General features: G+C 38.6%; 1 protein-coding gene across 12 annotated transcripts in view, besides 1 other annotated feature; it reads left to right on the top strand.

Moving 5' to 3' along the window:
* The window catches only part of LRGUK (leucine rich repeats and guanylate kinase domain containing), a 149346-nt gene that overhangs the window by 50281 nt on the left and 79074 nt on the right, over nt 1-19991 (top strand). For all 12 annotated transcript variants that reach the window (XR_002956408.2, NR_174939.1, XM_024446659.2 and 9 more), the window contains 4 exons: nt 883-989; nt 6114-6233; nt 14035-14131; nt 19372-19485. Coding sequence is in view for 10 of the 12 variants with exons in the window: in XM_024446659.2 (XP_024302427.1) it covers nt 883-989; nt 6114-6233; nt 14035-14131; nt 19372-19485 (438 nt within the window). In the remaining 2 variants the exon portion in view is untranslated. The remainder of the gene's footprint in view (nt 1-882; nt 990-6113; nt 6234-14034; nt 14132-19371; nt 19486-19991) is intronic.
* Nucleotides 11735-12284: an enhancer, noted in NCBI's record as "OCT4-NANOG hESC enhancer chr7:133874107-133874656 (GRCh37/hg19 assembly coordinates)". NCBI's record gives its function as "activates a minimal SCP1, AML or CMV promoter by ChIP-STARR-seq in naive H9 embryonic stem cells {active_cell/tissue: H9 hESC(naive)}" and the evidence as "EXISTENCE:reporter gene assay evidence [ECO:0000049][PMID:30033119]".

The raw sequence follows: 19991 nt of genomic DNA on the forward strand, positions 1-19991 counted from the left end.
TTGTCTTGCTTTAGTAGCTGGTGACAGCCAAAATCTCTACTAATGAGGGATTTCTTACACTGGATGCAAATTTGAGACAGGAATGAAAACAGGTATAAATATGTAGAGAGGCACGTATTCCATCTCATAAATGCCTTTCTGAAATCTTGGTTAAAAGCAGTTACAGATGCCAGTCTGTCATTATTCTCACACTCAAAGGTACTTATTAGATTCCTCTTTTCCTTTAACATTTTGCAAAAGGAATACAATTTAAAACCATGTATTAAGTAAAGATATGGCATATGATAGATGAGGATAATGTATTTAGAAGAATGGGAAAGACAAGGGGATGAAGAACTGTACATTATGAAGAAAAGGCCCATATCCTTGAATGAACAAAGTTATGCTAAATGAGGAGGAAGTTTTGGTAGAATTTGAGATTGTGGGAATCATTCTTGGTGAAATGGTATGAGGAAAACATTCCGCATGCATCAAAACCTGGAATCTACAGCTATAAGTTTTATTCCTTTTTCACATATTAAAAGTTGGAATGTTTACTATATTCAAAGTAATCATGGGCTTTAGAGGGGCTGTGGGTTTTTGTTTGGTGGTTTTTTTGTGTGTGTTTTTGTTTTTTGCCATTTTCCCTCCCAAACCAGGCAGAATAAAGAAGTAGGAGATCAAAAGACTCCACTCAATATTTTTAAATAATTATCATTTCTTAAATTTTAGGAAAATTAGAGTAGACATGAAGACTGAATACTAATGTTAATGGGTGTGTGTTAAATTATTTTGTGTACCTGGCTGCACGTGAACAACATTTCATTAAGGAAAAATCCAAGCTTTGTCTTCTTTTTAGAAACAAAACTTTTTTTCCCTTTTACATCTCTAATTCTGGAAAAGGTTTCAGCAGTGAATAAATATGATCCTCCCCCTGAAGTGGTTGCAGCTCAAGACCACCTGACCCATGTTGTCAACAGCGTGATGCAGCCGCAGAGGATCTTTGACAGGTACTTATTAGAAATCCAAAGGCCGGAATTCAGGGTGAGCAAGCAAAAGACAGCCTCATCACTTCCCCTAACCCCTATTTTGTGACCCCTTTATTTCCTATAAAGGCTGCTTTTTCCCTTTCTCTGAGGGAAGGGGCCAAGTCTTTATTTGATAGACAATATTGTCTCCATTATGGTATATTATTAATATCATGTACTTGAGTGTGTTGCTTTCTTGCTGGTATTTTCCCAAGCATGGTGATGAGTTGATTCACCTTCACTAGTTTTTCTGGCCACTTGTATGGTGGCCAGCGTGTGCCACACAACAGTGAAATCTCAAAAAAAAAAAAAAAAAAAAAACCAGGACCAATTTTTCTGCCTTAGGAGAGAAACACAGACCTTAACCTTAACAGAAAATTGTGGTAATTTATATCCATTGTAAATTTTCCCTCAGCTGTGAGTGGAAGCTAAATACCCTTGCCAAAGACTGTTCCATGAATTCACATTATTAGGGAGTCCCTTAGAAGGAAGCCCAGCTAGCCTAAGGAAAACCTGAAACAGTCTTTGCACTAAGCTGCGATAAACTCAGCAGGGAGGAGTCGCCCAGCTCGGTGGAACACATGAACAGAGTCTCTCACCTCTGAATTCGAAGACAGATTTACCATGCTTTCTTCATTTCTTTTTAAAACAATCTGTTGGAGCAGATGGCCATTTATGCTCTAAGTATAATGCAGAAATTCTATCAATACCCAAAGGCATTTTAAAAATACTTGTAAAATCTCTTGGATATAAATGGCTTCTCTTCTTCATGTGGTATTTGCTCCTGTACTTCACATGGCTGGTTTCCCACAGAGAGCAAAATGTTTTATTTTGCAACCCAGGACATGATTTTTACATATAATTTAATAATGTAGACGTTGACAGTTTCACATGTTTATGGTGGCCCTCTAGGTGAAATGAATTATCATTTATTACATACATCTGGAAAAGCACATTTGATTCAAAAGAGGGGCATTTATCTCCTCATTGTATTTCTATTCTAGTTTATGGTATTGCTAGTTGTTTCATGCTTTAGGGTACGTTTAAATAAAAACATATATCAAGGAAATTTGCAGCAGTGTTTGATAAACACATATGTCTTGATCATTTCTGGCTGTCAGGAAAACAAGAATAAAGGCCAAGTAGGCCCAGATGTTCCAGGGTGGAGTGGCATTCATTGTGGAAACTCATGGACAAAGGACCAGTAGCTAGTGTGCAGGCCTGCAATGCCCTTCCTACTCTGTCTAGGCCAGTACACAACTCTCTGTCAGCACCAGAAGTCAGGATCCAGGAGAGGAACCCCAACCCTTGGCTTTGGGACTTGTATGCTGCCATTACTGGGGAATCACTGTCCCCTCTCCTGGTATAATTGGGGTGAGGATACAGTATTAAAATGACATGGCCAAACCTTGACTCTGGTCTGGTAGTCATTGATAGCTTCTTACCTTCTGATATGACAAAGTTCTCCAGACTCATCTGGTACATGTCCTGTCCCAAATCTGGAATCAGCCTTTTCTGCAAGAAGCCCCAGTTTTAGTGAAAAATAGTATTTCCCAATTCCAGTCTGGGGGTTAAGATACTCATTGCTACCAGGTTGGTCATTTATTTAGAGGCCTTTTAGTGGAAAGAGCTAAGAATGTAACTCTTTTCATCAATTCCTCTGTCCATCCATCCATCCATCCATCCATCCATCCATCCATCCATCCATCCAATCTATTTGTACCTACCTGTATCTGTTCTATCTATATCTATCTGTCTGTTTGGGTAGACCTATCTGTGTCTATCTATAGATAGATGGATTAAATACCTCCTGAATTCTTGATATTTACAATTTTGATTCCAAAACTACAGTTAAGCTTTTACTCAACCTCCTCGCTATTGTATGGGTATTTCCTTTTTTCCCACACCAAGAAATCTGGTTCTAAGGGACACAGAGGAAGATGAAATTACCAAATCCCATAATTACTCATTTGAAAAAATCCTAGATTGTACCACAGTGGTATTAGAATACCAGTACTAATACTACCACCAAAATGATTCCTGAAAACATTAAAAATATTTTTTGCCTACAATTTACCCATTTCCTCCCATGTTTTTTATTGTGGTAAAATATATGTAACAAAATTTGCCACTTTAACAATTTTAAAGTGGACAGTTGAGTGGCATCAAGTACATTCATAATGTTATGTAACCATCACCACCATCTATTTCCAAAACATTTTCATTACCCCAAACAGAAACTCTGTACCCATTAAGCAATAACTCCTGGTTCTTCTCTGCTCCCAGCCTCTGGTAAGCTCTAATGTACTTTTGTCTCTATGAATTTGCCTATTCTATATATTTCATATAAGTGTCAACCACCCCTTTTAGAAAATAGTGTTGTACTATATTTATATTGTCAAAACATACAGCCATCACATACCGTGCTTTCTCCTTCTTTGCTGTTATTTAGTCTCAATTCTCTGGCTAACTACATAGTTGTTGCTCACTACCAGTAGTTATATTGATGTCCCTTGAGTCACTTTGGTTGTTTGAAGCTTGTTTTCTAGTATTTTCCTTAGGAAGGGATATGGCATCAGTATCCTCTGAATTCTTGCATGTTATAACAATGTATGCCCTTTATACTTGAAAGTCATTTTTGCTAAATATAAAATTCATGATCCACACCTTTTTCCTTGAATATATTAAAAATGTTACTCCATTGTCTTTTGGCATAAAACAAAATCTGATGATAATTTAATTTTCTTTCCCTTATATGTAATGTGCTTTTTTTTTTTCTAATTGGAAGTTTTTTTCTTTTTCTTTAAAGCCAAGTAATTTTACTAGACTATGTCCTGGTTTAGTTCTGAGCTGATATTTCAGGTATAATGTGTGCCCTTTCAATGCGTAGTGTTTTTTGTTTGTTTGTTTGTTTGTTTTAATTTCAGGGAAGGTTTTTTTGAAGTATAGCCTCTGTTTTCTGTTCCTTTGGTTTTCATCTTCAGGAAGAAGCTCTCTTTTGCTTATTTTCAATATTTGTCACTTTCTTTTTCTTAGTTATTTTTTTGAAAAAATATATTTTGAGGTAATTGTAGATTCACATGAAGTTGTAAGAAATAATACAGAGAAATTCCATATACCAGTCATCCAGTTTTCCTCAATGTTGATATCTTGCATAGCTATAGCAGAACATTAAAACAAGGAAATTGACCAGGAAATCCACCAACCTTATCGGATTTCACCAGTTTTGCATGTGCTCTTTTGTCTTTAGTTCTATTTACCTCTGTGCAATTTTATCACATGTAGATTCATCTTAGCACCACTACAGTCAAGATATAGAGCAGTTTTATCACAAGGATCCCTTGTAATACTCTATAATAGCCATAGCACCTCCCTCCCTCTCATCTTCCCTAACCCCTGGAAACCACTAATCTGTCCCTGTCTCTATCTATAATGCTGTTATTTCAAACATGTAATATAAATAGAATCATACAGTATATAGCCTCTTGGGATTGGCTTTTTTTCACTCAGACTAATTCCCTGGAAATGCATTCGAGTTGTTGCATGAATCAGTAGTTCATTCTTTCTTATTGCCACGTAGCATTCCATGGCGTGAAAGTATCACAGTTACTTGAACTGCTTACCTGTTGAAAGACATCTGGACTGATTCCAGTTTTGGGTGATTGCAAATAGAGCTGTCATGAACATTCATGTCCAGGCTTTTGCACATGTACAGCTTCAGGCTGCCTGCTCTTGGCAGGTACCCAGTGGCTGTTTTGGGGTTCACTTGCTCTCAGATCTGTCAGATGCTGCCCATTGCTTCCCTCTTCTTCCTCCTGCATTGACTGTAGTACCACACAGGTTTTGTGGGTCCATGGCTCTTGGCGATACTGTTTCATGTACTTATATGTGTTTCCCATAGGCTTTTGCTCTCAAGTTTTTCTGTGGGAATTCGGAGAGATTGAAAAACTATGCTGTTTCATTGTTTCCACAGACTCTTCTCAGAATCTACACCTTCATCTTCATAGAATCCACACCTCAGCCATGTGGTTTTTTAAAATTTTATATTTTATTCTAGATTGCTACAATTTGTGTCATGAGTAGAGTTTAAACACATTGTTCAGTGTGTTGCAGGAGATTTTATTATTATGATGATGATGATGATGATTTTTTTGAGACAGTTTCACTCTTGTTGCCCAGACTGGAGTACAATGGCGCCATCTCGGCTCACTGTAACCTCCATCTCCTGGGTTCAAGAGATTCTCCTGCCTCTGCCTCCCGAGTAACTGGGATTACGGGTGTGCACCACCATGCCCGCTAATTCTGTATTTTCAGTAGAGACAGAGTTTCTTCATGTTGTTCAGGCTGGTTTCGAACTCCTCACCTCAGGTGATCTGCCTCAGCCTCCCAAAGTGCTGGGATTACAGGCTTGAGCCATCGCGCCCGGCTGCGGGAGATTTTATTAATCAATTCATTCTTTAGTCCAGTCTTCAGGCTTGGCAGCCAAACCTACATTTGTATATCAGCTCTCCCTTATTAACTATCACTTTGAGCAAGTTAATTAACCTCATTGTACTTCAGTTTCTTCATACGTTAAAAGGGGATAATGACAGAAACATCTTCATTAGCTTCTTGTGATAATTAAATGAGGTAATGGATGTATGACTCTTAGAATGCTTCCTGGCACATAGTAATTGCTCAGGTAAATTTTAGCTATTACTGTTAAGTTGGCTTTGCATACCTGCATTCTAATTCAGTAGTTATAAATATTTATCTTAACTTTACAGTCTTATTTAACTTTAACAGTCTTATTTCTTTCATTGATCAGTTTTGGGGAGGAATATTTCACTCTAGCCATCAAGAACCAATAAATGTTATATTTTTCCTTTAAAAGTCATGTTAAAGTAAATTTACGTAAGTTCATATTTTACCTTATTTGTTATCTATGCTTTGAATATTATTTTTGACATATAATCAATCTGTTTCTGGAAAGGACAACTATTCTTCTACGCAGGGTCTTATATAGCAAGTGCTCATTTAGCCAGGTTAATGGTGGCCTAATGGATGTAGTTAATGTGCTGTCTCCCTGACTGCAATAGGAGAACTGACTCTGGTCCTGTGTTGTAGCACTCTTCCCAGCCTGGATGCCCCTTATCCCATGCTGATACTAGCTGGTCCTGAAGCTTGTGGGAAACGAGAGCTTGCCCATCGCCTCTGCAGACAGTTTAGCACTTACTTCAGATATGGGTAAGTTTGTTTATTGGCTTGTTAAGACTTGGAAATTCATCCGAATTATTGGAGGTATCAATAGTTGTAGTAAAATCTCCGATATTGCTAATGTTGGCTATTAATTTTAAGCAATTTCAGAAATGTACAAAACAACTTAATATTTAAGTTACACTTTATAGCAAAGCCAAAAGTGGTAAGTAAATTGAATGTTCAATAGATATTAACTCTTGGTAAGGACAGAGCACCATGTGAGTGTTAATCCTTGATGGTAAATTATTGATAAAATTGGATCAATGTGATTACCTGGTTCTGGAACGATAGAATCTTGATTCTTGTGCCATTCTAATCGATATGGTAAAGATGATTGCTAAAGTGTACTCCTGGCAATAGAAGAACTTGCCATATAGCAGGAAGAAACAAAATAATTTTTCTTTTTTTTCTTTTTTTTTTTTGATACGGAATCTGGCTCTGTCACCCAGACTGGAGTGCAGTGGTGCGATCTCGGCTCACTGCAAGCTCCACCTCTCGGGTTCATACCATTCTCCTGCCTCAGCCTCCCAAGTAGCTGGGACTACAGGCGGCTGCCACCATGCCTGGCTAATTTTTTGTATTACTAGTAGAGAAGGGGTTTCACCATGTTAGTCAGGATAGTCTCGATCTCCTGACCTCATGATCCTCCCACCTTGGCCTCCCAAAGTGCTGGGATTACAGGTGTGAGCCACCGCGCCTGACCGAAACAAAATAATTTTTCTTTTGTCAAGCAGACAGTAAACATACAGCAATGACTCCCCTGCTCCCTGCTTCCCCCACCCACCACAAAATAAGCAAGCAAACCAGCATGGCTCATTCATGCTGTTCCCCACCTTTTCCATAAAAGGCTTATTGGCTTCTTTGCCACTTATTATACTGTGATATACACTGTATTTTTTTTAACTTTAATTTTCCAAATGCTTAACTTAATTCAGTCTCAGCCCAAATCACCCTCCAGGGTTTGAAAATCAACATCTTTTTCATTAAGCATAAATGGCATGTGAAGGCAGGCTTCTCCTGTTGCCTTGCAGTATGATAGCATGAATCACCGTGTTGTGATGTGTGGTGGGCATATCTGTGCTCAGGGACAGCCTCTCCTGTCTGAGCCTGGAACATGTGCCAACGGCACTGGAGCGTCTTTGTCTCTGACAGGTCTTCCTCTTTTGGTATTTCAGGAGGAAGGAAGGAGAAGGGGCAGCAAGTTTTTCTTTTTCTTTCCTTCAGGTTAGCATTCAATACACTTCAAGTTTTCTGGAGCAAATATTTTGCTTAGTGATGTCTTAATGACCCAGTTAAAATAGAGGAACATATCCGAAAAACTAGAACCATCCAAAAAAACAAAAAACCAAAAACAAACAAACAAAAAAACCACACACACACAAAACTCCAACTGAGTTTAAAGAGTTTTTTAGAGGCTGAGACTAGTGGCTCACGCTTCTAATCCCAGCACTTTGGGAGGCTGAGGTGGGCGGATCACTTGAAGCCAGGAGTTCGAGACCAGCCCAGTCAACATGGCAAAATCTCTTCTCTACTAAAAGTATAAAAATTAGCTGGGTGTGTTGGCGCACACCTGTAATCCCAGCTGCTCGGGAGGCTGAGACATGAGAATCCAAGATTGTGCCATTGCATTCCAGCCTGGGCAACAGAGCGAGACTCTGTCTCAAAAAAAAAAAAAAGATTTTTTTTTAGAGGTTTTGGTGAATCAAATTTAGAATTGTCTGTCATCTCTTAAACTGGTTTCCTCTTGTACTTTTTGTGTATGGCAAAGAAATTACTTTTAGATTAGTGGTGCCTGTCAGTGAGCTGAGGATGTGGCTACAAAGATATATAGGACAGCCAGAAAAATAAGTGCAAATTATTTCCTAATGCTATTACAAAAAAACTTCCTTCCCTGAAGCTACACATGTTCAAACAATGTAAACACTATTTCAAACAGGTCCATTTATTTAGATATTTAAAATTACATCCTTTATTTGAACAACTCTAGGCCACAAACACTATGGAAAAATTTATTAATACATTTTAGACACCCGAAGTAACAAAAATAAATTAAAAGTTAATGTTAGAATAAAAATATAGAGTACATTATGTTTCTGTGGATGTACTGAACCTGTTTTAAAAGATAAGCTGAACGCAATGAATGGAAGGACAAACTAGGGCAAAAGGGTATATGCTGTTTTGCTAATGCGTAAATTTGGAACTTTTTAGCAAACCAAAGTGACCTATGAGGAACCAAGTTTCTCCAGTTCCTTTCACATCTCTGATACCAGTTATGTTGCAAATGGTTGGTAGCCCAGTCCTGTTTATTTCTCTGTGATATGCTACTGCTAAGACATACTTTGTTGGATATGTTTTTAGAGATGTTTATTGACTCATCGTCAAGATTTGGAGCCAATCTGCCCTTACATTCTTATCTGGTGAGGCCTCCCAGTTACTCATTTTCATTGAATCTTTTATTTCCCTAATTAGAATGCTTATCCATCATGCTTGTGATTAGTTGATTTAATGTCTGCTTTCCCTGCTTGTCTGTAGCCCATTGAGGGCAGGGCGCATGTCAGCCTTGTTCACCATTGAGTTCTCAATATCCAGTATATGTCCAGACACTTAATATGTGTGTGATAAATATTTGTTAAATAACTGACTGACTGATTGAGTGAATGGTTGGCTGAATTAATGGCATGGTGTGCAACAGATCATATAAATGACTGTAATAAGAAGCATGGGTGATCTTCCCCAACCTCCACTGATGGAGCTATGCAGAGATGAATGGATTCATCCACTTGTTCATTCTTTCAATACATATTTATTGAATTCCTCTCTTGTGCTAGTCCCTGAGGGTAGAGCAGGAACAAGACTGGTGAGGTCCTTGCCTTAATGAAATTTGTAATCTAATGGGAGACTCAGACCTTAGATAATCAGTGCTATGTGAAATTTAGGTGGAGGCACAAGATGGCAAAACAGAATCCTAAAATTAGCTTCATGCTCCTGTACTGTTACCTCTGCCACTGCTATTTTTCTCTTCTGGCTGGAATTAGTGGTGAGTAGAAAGACACTCCTAACTGCCCCCCTCCCAACTACAAACTCATTCATCCACCTCCCTCAGAGTTTCAGAAGCACCATCCAACTGTTCACTGTCATTCTCATGAAGGCAGAGGTCAAGGTTTGTTCAGTGGCAAATTATTCTAAGAATTTCATCAAGGCACGGATAAAAGACTATGCATCGGATGGAAAAGGATATTAGATAGCTAGTTACTTTATCCATTGAGAAAGTAAGCTACTGCTACCATTATATGCAGCAACTTTCTAGTTAAAATTAAAAAAAAAAAACCAAAGCACATTCGCACATTCTCAAGGACAAGTCATTGCTCTTGTTTAGATTTTCTTTTCTATTATTCTTTATCCAACATAAGTTTTATTGATTTTTAATTATGTGAAAAGAAAAAAGGCGTGCATAGAGAGTCTCATGGTGAAACATAAAAGCATTTACAAAGGCACTTGCTCCACCATTTGCTTGAATCATTTCTTTCCTTCCTTCTCATTTAATTTTTTCCTGGCATTTTACTTCCTTTCTAAATTGCATTGACCCAAGATCAAGACATTCAATGAAATTTTCACATGCTAAGTTGCATATCCAGATATATAAATATTGAAAACATAACTCAGTCACATAACAAATATTGGTGCGGCTGAGAGATTTTGCTGTAGTTAGGTTTTGATTTTACTATTTGTTCTTGGTTTTAGAAATATGTTGAATGTTCTTTCTTTACCAGTATTAGTTATGGGTGACCTGGAGATATACATTTACTTTCTTCAAAGTCTCTCTATTGATTTCCAGCTGAGCACCCCACAAATCAGTGACTTCCTGGAAAAGTGCCAGATAATGAGGGCAACCCAAAACAATATCAGCATGCCTGTTTATCTTCTAGATTTAAGGCCATGAAAGTGATCTGAATGGCCCTGAAAGAAAAACTTTATTCTTTCTTAGATCTCTATTTTATAGCCATCTCTATTTTCATAAGCTTCTCATGATGTTGACTACTAAACATATTTCATTTTTAGCATTATAATAGAGTAAAATAAAAGACCACAGCTATTTAGTTACATGAGATGATATGAGCTGTAGCAACCTAAATGCAGTCTCAGCTAAGGTGTCTGTTTATACACATGTGACAAATTTGTAGAATGGTTCATTTATTCATTCAATATTTATCGAGCACTGTGCAAATGCTATATGCTGGTGATGAAACTGTGAAATGAACAGGCATGGTTCTTCTCCTCCTGGCAGCTTACAAAGTAGTATGAGATTTAAACAGGTAAATACTAACAAGATAGTTTGATGGGTGCTATGATGAGGGAGGTAAAGAGCCTCTGAGATAGAAATAAAAGAGAAGTAGGAAGTGGGGCTTGAGTTGAGGGTGTATTCTAGGCAGAGAGGACAGCATATGGCTCAGCTTGAACTATCAAGGGAGATGGCAGAAGATAAGACTGGAAGGACAGACAGGGGTCCGGTCATAAAGGATTTCTAAACAGGGAGGGGAATGGCGTGATCACATTTGCATTTTAGAAAGCGTATCCTGTTGGCAATTTGGGAAAGGGCTTAGGGAAGGAAGTCTGGAGACAAGCAGACCAGGTAGAATGTAGTGACGGGTGATGATAGCATGAGTCAGAAAATGGTGTGTAGTTACTGAAAAGTGGGCAGAGTAGTGGCTTCATGGAGTTTGATACTTAGATACAGTATGTGCTGGAATCTTTTGTGTGGAGGATCACTTAAATTGTGTCCAGCAAGCTATTGACATATATTTGCATTGGGTATTCAGACCAATTTCATTTACCTCCCAGATTCCTCTAGGAATACCTGGGCTTTTGTGGCTACCCATTGATAGAGCTCACTTACTAACAATGTGATGTGCTGTAATGTGCTTGAATTCAGATGTGCTCAGAGCCAAGCCTCTGCCTAAATATTTGCAATAACAAGTTCATTATTTCCTGAGGCAATCTGGTTCAGAATTAAGCTTCTAAATCTGCATGCGTCTGAATGACACAGAAAAAAAAATACTACTTCCTCATCCACCTGCTAGCTCTTCTTAGATATCTTTTCTTCCTGTTACATTTCCCTGGATATTTTGGGATTCCATTATTTAGCCTGGCTTTCCAATTCCTTTTCCTCTTGATCATCTCCTTTCTGTGAACTTGGTTTGGTAGTAGCTTCAGTGACACCTGGCCATGAATTGGCACCCTTAGACTTTTAGGACCAGAGTTGGAGTCTGGGGTTCATCTCTAACTTAGTCCTTTTCTGTGTTAAGTGAAATCACAGGGATTGTGGTTCCCATTACAAACCATAATTTAACTAGCAAATTAATTAGTAAATAATGAATATGTGGAAAGATTTAGACAAGGGAAAAGAAGAATTTTGAAAGTCCTGGCTCGAGCAAATTTCTTTGTCTAGAATTTGGTATCATTTTTCTTATGTAAGTTTAGTGAAATGTTGCCTTCACTATGAAGCATTTTCTTTTTGAGATGTTCATATTTGGGCAGCATATAACACGGTGAACATTTCTATATGTGAAAATTGGATGATGAATTAAAAAAACACAGATCATCTTAGGTTCTTCTTAATAGGAAGTCTGCAGTGGCTGCAGGTTCTGTCATCAGCATTCTGCACATCAGTGGAGCCATGTCTTTATTTACCTGCCTAGAAGCTTCAAATTGCTCCTTTGTTTTGTCTTTCTTTGAGGTATTCAGAAGAAATTCTTGCCACTCAATTCCTTTGTTGAGAAATGTAAGTTCAGCATAATGTGTAAAGGCTATGCTAAGGGTTTGCTGCAAGGGTGCCAAGCTATTGATTTATCTTCCCTGACTGTCAAGGACACCAATAGACAGAGGGTGTCAGGTCTCTGCTAAGGCATGTGAAGAAATGCCAATGTATTCAAACAACAAAACAAATGCCACAGTGTTTTGACAGCCTTCTCTTAGAATGTACTCTCTTTCCTGAGTATATAATTTAAATATGATGTTAAGACCTTAAAATGTATTAGTACAGTTAATTCTTAAGTATAATGGAAAGGGAGCAGTGGTATGAATTATAAACATTTATTTGTCTTTGACTTTGCAACGAAGAGCCTTTCGAGGTTGGAACTTTACTCTCTGAATTAGTATGATATTAACAAGAATTGACTTTTGAGTCATCCTGGCGTTGCTACTTAGTAACATTACTTAATCGCTGTGCCTCCAGTTTCATTATTTGTAAAATAAAAATAAGAAATAATACCTAGCTTATGGTTTTTGTAAGAAATAAATGAAATAACATGTCAAGTGTCTAGCTAGTCTCATCTCTTATTTTATTTTATTATTTATTTATTGAAACAGGGTGTTGCTCTGTTGCCTCGGCTGGAATGCAATGGGGCAATTATGGCTTGCTGCAGCCTCAAACTCCTGGGCTCAAGTGAGCCTCACACCTCAACCTCCTGAGCAGCTGAGACCACAGGCACATGCCACCACACCTGGCTAATTTTTAAATTTTTTTGTAGAGACAGAATCTCACTATGTTGCCCAGGCTGGTCCTGAACTCCTGGGCTCAAGCAATCCTCCTGCCTTGGCCTCCCAAAGTACAGGGATTGCAGGAATAAGCTACTGTGCCTGGCTCTCATCTCCTATTTTAAAACTACAGTAAAATCTAAAAATCAGTTTGCATTTCTGCACTTAACAGTGGAAGGCAGAATTATATGAACTCAAGAGTCCTGGTGGTTGGGACCACCATATTCTTGTAGGACCAACACTGGCCTGCTGTGTGACCTTAGAGGAGTTATTTTTGTAGTCATCTATAAAATGGAGTTCTTAGCAGCTGTTATCCACTTCTCCTGTTTCATTTTTCATTCATTTTACAAAAATTTATCAAATGCCTACTATGTGCCAAGCATTGGGAATGCAGTGGCGAATAAGACATGGTCCTCCCCTTTAGGATTCATATGTTCTGCTGGGAAAGATAGGAAAAAAACAGATAAATATATAAAAGAAAGCAGTTCTGGGGATAGACAGTAGTTGAGCGGTAAGCAGTTCTGGGGATAGACAGTAGTTGAGCGGTGTGGTGGGATGGGGAGGCTATTTCAGACAGTGGAGAGAAAAGGCCTCTTTGGCTGAGCTGAGACTTCCATTCAGCATTGGCACCATGGATTGCCACAGGAGGTTTATACACAGTGTTGATATGGACCAAGCACAGGGCACATGAGATAGATTTGCCCTCAGGTGGTGGAGGGGATGGGCCCTGAACATACAATTGGAATGCAATTGGCAAAGACACTAAGGCTGTGGAAATATAAAGAGATGAATAATCCAGCCATAGAGGTCAGGGAAGGATTTTTGGAGGGGTGACATTTAAACTGAGTTCTGAGAAACAAGTAGGCCAGCCAGGTGGAAGGAGAGAAGGACAGCCTGTGGAAAAGGCTCATAGATTAAACACGAAAGCAGGTGGGTGGAAAATAGTTGAGTGATAAGTATTGATTTACTTCTTAAAGTATTATTACATGATGGCAGAGGAAGTGGTTCAGAAGGTGATAAGTAATAATGAGTAAAAATTTGGTATGGATAATCCAAATTTTGTATAATCTTTATAGATGATAGCAACTGAATATAATTTAGCACTTCGAAACCAACATATTCTTACAACTGTATTACTTTATGATTTATGATTTGTGGATTAACTTCATTTTTTAAAACATAATTTATATTGAAACCTTTTCCATTTTGAATTTCAAGTTAGAAATGGACTAGGTGATCTGTTTTATGATTTCAGGGCCTGTCATACCACAAGACCACCTTACTTTGGAGAAGGGGATCGAGTTGATTATCATTTTATCTCTCAAGACGTTTTTGATGAAATGGTGAACATGGTAAGAATGTTTGCCTTTGTTTTTATTGCACAAGAAATACACGTTCTCTGGCAAAAATGTTAGGAAATAGTTATAAATAAAAAAAGGAAGAATTAAATTTTGTGCTTGTTATGAGAGGTGAGTTTTTATGGGGTTTTTTTTTTTTCTTAAAGTGCTTAATACGTCATTCTTCACATGCTTTTTTATTTTATGGTCTTGGAGAAAATATTGTAAATTTCCAATAAAAATGAATGAGTAGGCATTTTAAGGAAATAGAACTAAAGCAGTATGAAAAATTCTTGTGATCTGTGCTTATCAGTTGCTGCTACTGTTATTAGTCAGATTTACTCAAGAAAAACAGTTCTTACATAACCGATGGCACAGAAATCTTGTAAATTAAGTATGTCTGGGGATTTGGGTATTCTGTCCAGAAAGTAGTCTTTCTGTGTATTATCTGTGGTGCTTTCTAATTGTTACAACCCTAAGCACCATTTCAGTATGGCGTGTCCCATTTACTTGGCTTGTTCTGGACATGTTACCATGGTCATGTTCCTGTTTGAGAAGTTCTCAGTCCTGGAGGCCAAGCAGTTCACTAATGCAGATGGCAGCCCTTGCTAGAAGATGGGAGATGATCCCTAACTTCTTTGAGGACTATGTTTTTACAAGGTCAAGGTAATTACCATGCATTAGTCTATTTCACAGGCACTCAGAACAATCTTGTTTAAGTTTTGGGTTTTTGCATTTGTTTGTTTTTTACTGAAACCCTGACAATCTGGTTATTGATAGTAACTCAAAACACTCTTGTCTTTGAATTCATTTTCTTCAAAACAACTTATATGTTCCTTCTTGGCCTTCACATACAAAGGGAACCCTCATAATCCTCGCATGTTTTATCTGTTGAAAGTGTATGCTAATGTAAATATGTATCTGCCCATGACTTCAGTTAAACTGAAGGAGTAGCTCATATTTTCATCACGACCAATGAATCTGTAAACCTTTTGTTTTTACTTCTCCATGGCCCTTATTTTTGTTTATATCTTCATTGTTTCTATCACCAAGTAAATCCTACACCACTTTCTTTTCTTTTCTGAAGTCCACTGAACTATCAGATGAGGGACTCATCTGTGTTTCTGCTTTTGAAAGATTACCATCCAACTGGTGATTCCCTTATAGCTACATATCCTCTTTCCTCTTTCCCCTTCTTTTTCCTTCTTCCTTCCTCTGTTCCCACCCCCCAAATAATGGACCTGGCTTATTCTTCATTGTACAAAATCATGGAACATTTCAGCATAGGCTTTGCAGTTTCTATGAGTTTAATTTTGAATGGCCAACTCTATACATGGTGCCTGTTTTCTGGACTTCTCTTGTGTTTGTGGAGATATACAAGTGAGAAAATCCTATGATCCCTAGGCAATTTTTCCTCTAACTTTGTCAAAAGAACATCTTGGAAATTCTTTATAATTTTCTCTCCTAGGGCTATATTTTGGCAGTTCAGTTTAATTGATTAAGAGTACTCTGGGACTTTATGTTTCTAAAAGCCTCAATAGAGATTTGAGAAGTTATCTTGATATTAGTAAGAAGCATTCTCTTAGGACTTTTTAAGTTGAAAGACAACTAATTCCCAAAATTAATGTTAATTTATCTTGTTAGAGTATGAGGCAATTTTTTTCTCACGTCAGTTCATCTGTTCTCAGTACCCCATCTGCTCTCTGGTGTTTCATACCTTATCAGATCTGTAATCTAGTCTGGTTCAATTCCTAGTCTAAAAAGTCACTACACTTCTATACTATATTTAGTCTTAGAATTTTACTACCTCTACAGAAATCCTCCTGTGTTTGAGAAGTACTTATTTTTACTGCTTCTGATAACATATATATACATTTCAGGATAATGTAATTTTCTTGAACTTGAATTGTGCCTCTGATCTCTTTTCCTTTAATGTAAGCTTGAGACTGTTTGATGAAGAGAGACAAACTTAGAGATGACAAACTTATGACACATTGTCAGCTTTGCCAATCACCCACAGACACTCAGCCTTCTGTTCACAGAACCCCCCTCTACACAGCAGCCACCCAGACAGCCTGCCCGCCATCCTCCATTACAGCAGGCCCACTGACGGACAGCCTTGGCACACCCTTACTGTGGACAGTCACACCTTTCTGCTCTGACACGTACAACACATAGACCTGTACACCTTCCCCCACACAGGGGCCTCCTCTATCCCATCAGACACTTCCCCCACAACACACAATCATCCCCCTAACATGCCCACAGATATGAGAACCCTTTTAATGGACACATACACAGTCCCCACAGAAACTCTCCCTCTCCTGTAGAAATAAAACCACAGACCCTGAGGTTTCTGGAGTATGACTATTGCTATTTATTAGGAAATCCATATGCAGCAAGAAACCAAAGTAGCATCACCAGCCAGAATGGGGTGGAGGGAAACCACTTAATCCCAATTCTTAACAAACTTGTAATGGGGTCTCTTTTATACCTATGTACTATGCAAGATTCCTCCCAACTCTACATCTCTACATCTTTCTAGAAAATGTTTTTTTTAATTATCCACAGTAGAAGGTCCTTGTACATAAACAATAAAAAAAACTTACAGTATATATCTGAAAAGGAATTCAAGTATACATTTTGAAAACAGCGAGTCACAGAGTGTTAGTCAGGGTTCTCCAGAGAAACAGAATCAATAGGATGTGTATATGTATAGCAAGAGATTTAGGGTTGGGCTCACACCTGTAATCCCAGCACTTTGGGAGGCTGAGGTGGGAGGATTGCTTGAACCTAGGAGTTTGAGACCAGCCTGGGCAACAAAATGAGACCCTATCTCTTCAAAAAATAAAGAATTAGCCTGGTGTAGGGGTTCATGCCTGTAGTCCCAGCAACTCAGGAGGCTGAGGCAGAAGGATTGCTTGAGCCCAGGAGGTCAAGGCTGCAGTGAGTTATGATTGCCCCACTGCACTCCAGCCTGTGTAACACAGCAAGACTCCATCTCTTAAAAGAAAGAGATTTAGTGTAAGAAATTGGCACACATGGGTTATAGGGACTGGCAAATCCAAATCTGCAGTGTGAGCCGGGCAGCCAGGAAATCCTAATGGGTTCACCTTGCCCGCTGCCTAGACAGAGCCGATTTTTCAAGATGAGAATTGCAATAGAGAAAGAATAATTCACACAGGGCCAGCTGTGCAGGAGACCACATTTTATCATTACTCAAATCAATCACCCTGAGCATTTGGGGATCACAGTTTTTAAGGACAACTTAGTGGGTGGGGGGAAGCCAGTGAGCCGGGAGTGCTGATTGGTCAGAGATGAAATCACAGAGAGTCAAGCTGTCTTCCTGTACTGAATCAGTTCCTGGGTAGGGGCCACAAGATCAGATGAGCCAGTTTATCGATCTGGGTGGTGCCAGCTGATCCATCAAGTGCAGGGTCTACAAAATATCTCAAGCACTGATCTTAGGAGCAGTTTAGGGAGGGTCAGAATCTTGTAGCCTCCAGCTGCATGACTCCTAAACCATAATTTCTAATCTTGTGGCTAATTTTTTAGTCCTACAAAGGCAGTCTAGTCCCCATGCAAGAAGGGAGTTTGTTTTGGGAAAGGGCTGTTATCATCTTTGTTTTAAAGTGTAAACTAAGTTCCTCCCAAAGTTAGTTCAGCCTGTGCCCAAGAATGAACAAGAACAGTTTGGAGGTTAGAAGCAAGATGGAGTCAGTTAGGTTAGATCTCTTTCATTGTCTCAGTCATAATTTTGCAATGGAGGTTTCAGTGGTGCAGATGAAATCCAAAGGCTGATCTTTTTGTTCTATTGAGGCCTTCAACTGATTGGATAAAGTCCACCTATATTATGGGTGGCAGTCTGCTTCCTTGAAGTTCACCAGTTTAAATGTTCATCTCACCCCAAACATCTTCCAAGTTGACACATAATACTAACCAGCAGATGCAATAAACAAGATAAAGTGTCTATCTGAAAGGAGAGCCAGACATATATATATATATAGAAAAGGAGTCACAGTATTTGTTCCAAATAACAAAGAAAGTATGACATTGAAGGAGTAAAATAGTAAGGATATTTATTGTTGAGTTTTTAACTTTTGGAATATATAACATAAACTTCTTTTGATTATGGGGGATGTGGATCTTCCTCATCACCTGCAGCAGACACATTGCCCAGAGACCCATCCCCCAACCTCAAAAGACACCCTACGCCTTCTGGTCTCTGACCTGTCTTCCCTGACAGACAGCCCATCCCCGTACCCTCACATCTCCAGAACATCTGGGGCCAAGACACAGGGTAGCAATAGACCCAACTGCTGCTGTTCTTAATGCTGCCACCGCCATTTGATGGGATTCAATGCAGCCCTGGAAGTTTTCACTTCATTGTTTATTTCAAAATCACATATATGAGAAGTCACTCTTGCCAAGATCATCCACGTTTTTATTCCTTCTGTTGTCATCAGTTACCCAGTTTAGATTTGACCTAGTGGTTTAATGAATATAGTATTGCCAAAGAAAAAATCACAGACAATTTTAAGAGACATCTTTTTACTTGCCCCACCCCTCCTTTTTTTTTTCCCAAGGGAATACCGTTTTTGGAAGAACTGAGCTTCCAGAATACAGACAGAGGCATCATTTATAGTTCAAATGGCTATAGGGCAGACACCAATTCTGTTGGATGACATTTGGGGCAGTTTCAGTAGAAAGCTATCTTTATGAGGAAAAACAGGATGGGTCTGCTTTTTCAAAGCTTTTAGGATGTCCCTGTAATTCATGGCCTCCCAGAATTATCTGTAATTCATGGCTTATCTTGGTAATGCAAGGCTTTTGGAAATGGAAGGCTTTTCTGGGTTGCCTGGTGTGCTGGCACAGCTGAAATGGCGGCAGTAAAGGGCAGGCCATTAGTTTTGTTCTCTCAGTAATGAAGGTTTTGGTGCGGGTTTGGCAGGAAGTGGGTAAGTAAACAAAATAGTCTATTTTACCATATGCTGCAGTGCCTTAACACTCCTCAACATTTTGTCAGCAAATTATTTCTAAAAACCTATTTTTTTTTTGTCAGCTGAGAATTCTGAATAAATTTCTCTGTCACAGTTTGAAATTAAGTTTCATTTACCCCATTGTCATCCTTATATAGTTGCTAAAATTTGTAAGGTTTTTGAAATTATTTAGAATAAGACATCAAATGATTTGAGTTATGTAAATTCCATGATGGCTGCTGTTATATGAAAATCTTTGTTCTTCTCGAATTCCAGGGGAAATTCATTCTAACATTTAGTTATGGTAATCACAAGTATGGATTAAATAGGGACACCGTAGAAGGTATCGCAAGAGATGGTTTGGCAAGCTGTATTCATATGGAAATAGAAGTAAGTGTTTTCATTCAACCAATTAATGTGTGTGTAGTTTGTGTGAGTGTGGTGTGTGTGTATGTGTGTGTGTGTGTGTATATATGTATAAACTTTTTACTGATACATAATTGAGGTACATATATGGGGTACATGCGTTAATGTATATACATATTTGAGGTTGGGGAGGGGTATACAATGCACAGGCAACACATTGCCAGGCACAAGATAAGATATTCCGTTTATAATTACTATGGGGGGCAAGACACATGAAACATTAAGTGACAGGAGTTCGGTTACAATACAAGAAATTGCACAGATATTGTGAGTGAAACTGCCACTCGAGCTTTATTTTCTGTTATTTCCTCACTAAATGCTCCTTTTTCTTTTTAGAGCATGGCCTCTGTTTACATAAAAGGTTGTAGATAAAGCCTGATTCTTAGAGTGTGGAACTGGTTCCCCATCCCCTCAGGACAATGGCAGCCCCATGTGGTCAACTTTGTTCCTTCCTTCTGCATGAGATGTGT

Source organism: Homo sapiens, chromosome 7 (genome assembly GCF_000001405.40).
Source record: "Homo sapiens chromosome 7, GRCh38.p14 Primary Assembly".
Taxonomy (NCBI): Eukaryota; Metazoa; Chordata; class Mammalia; order Primates; family Hominidae; genus Homo; species Homo sapiens.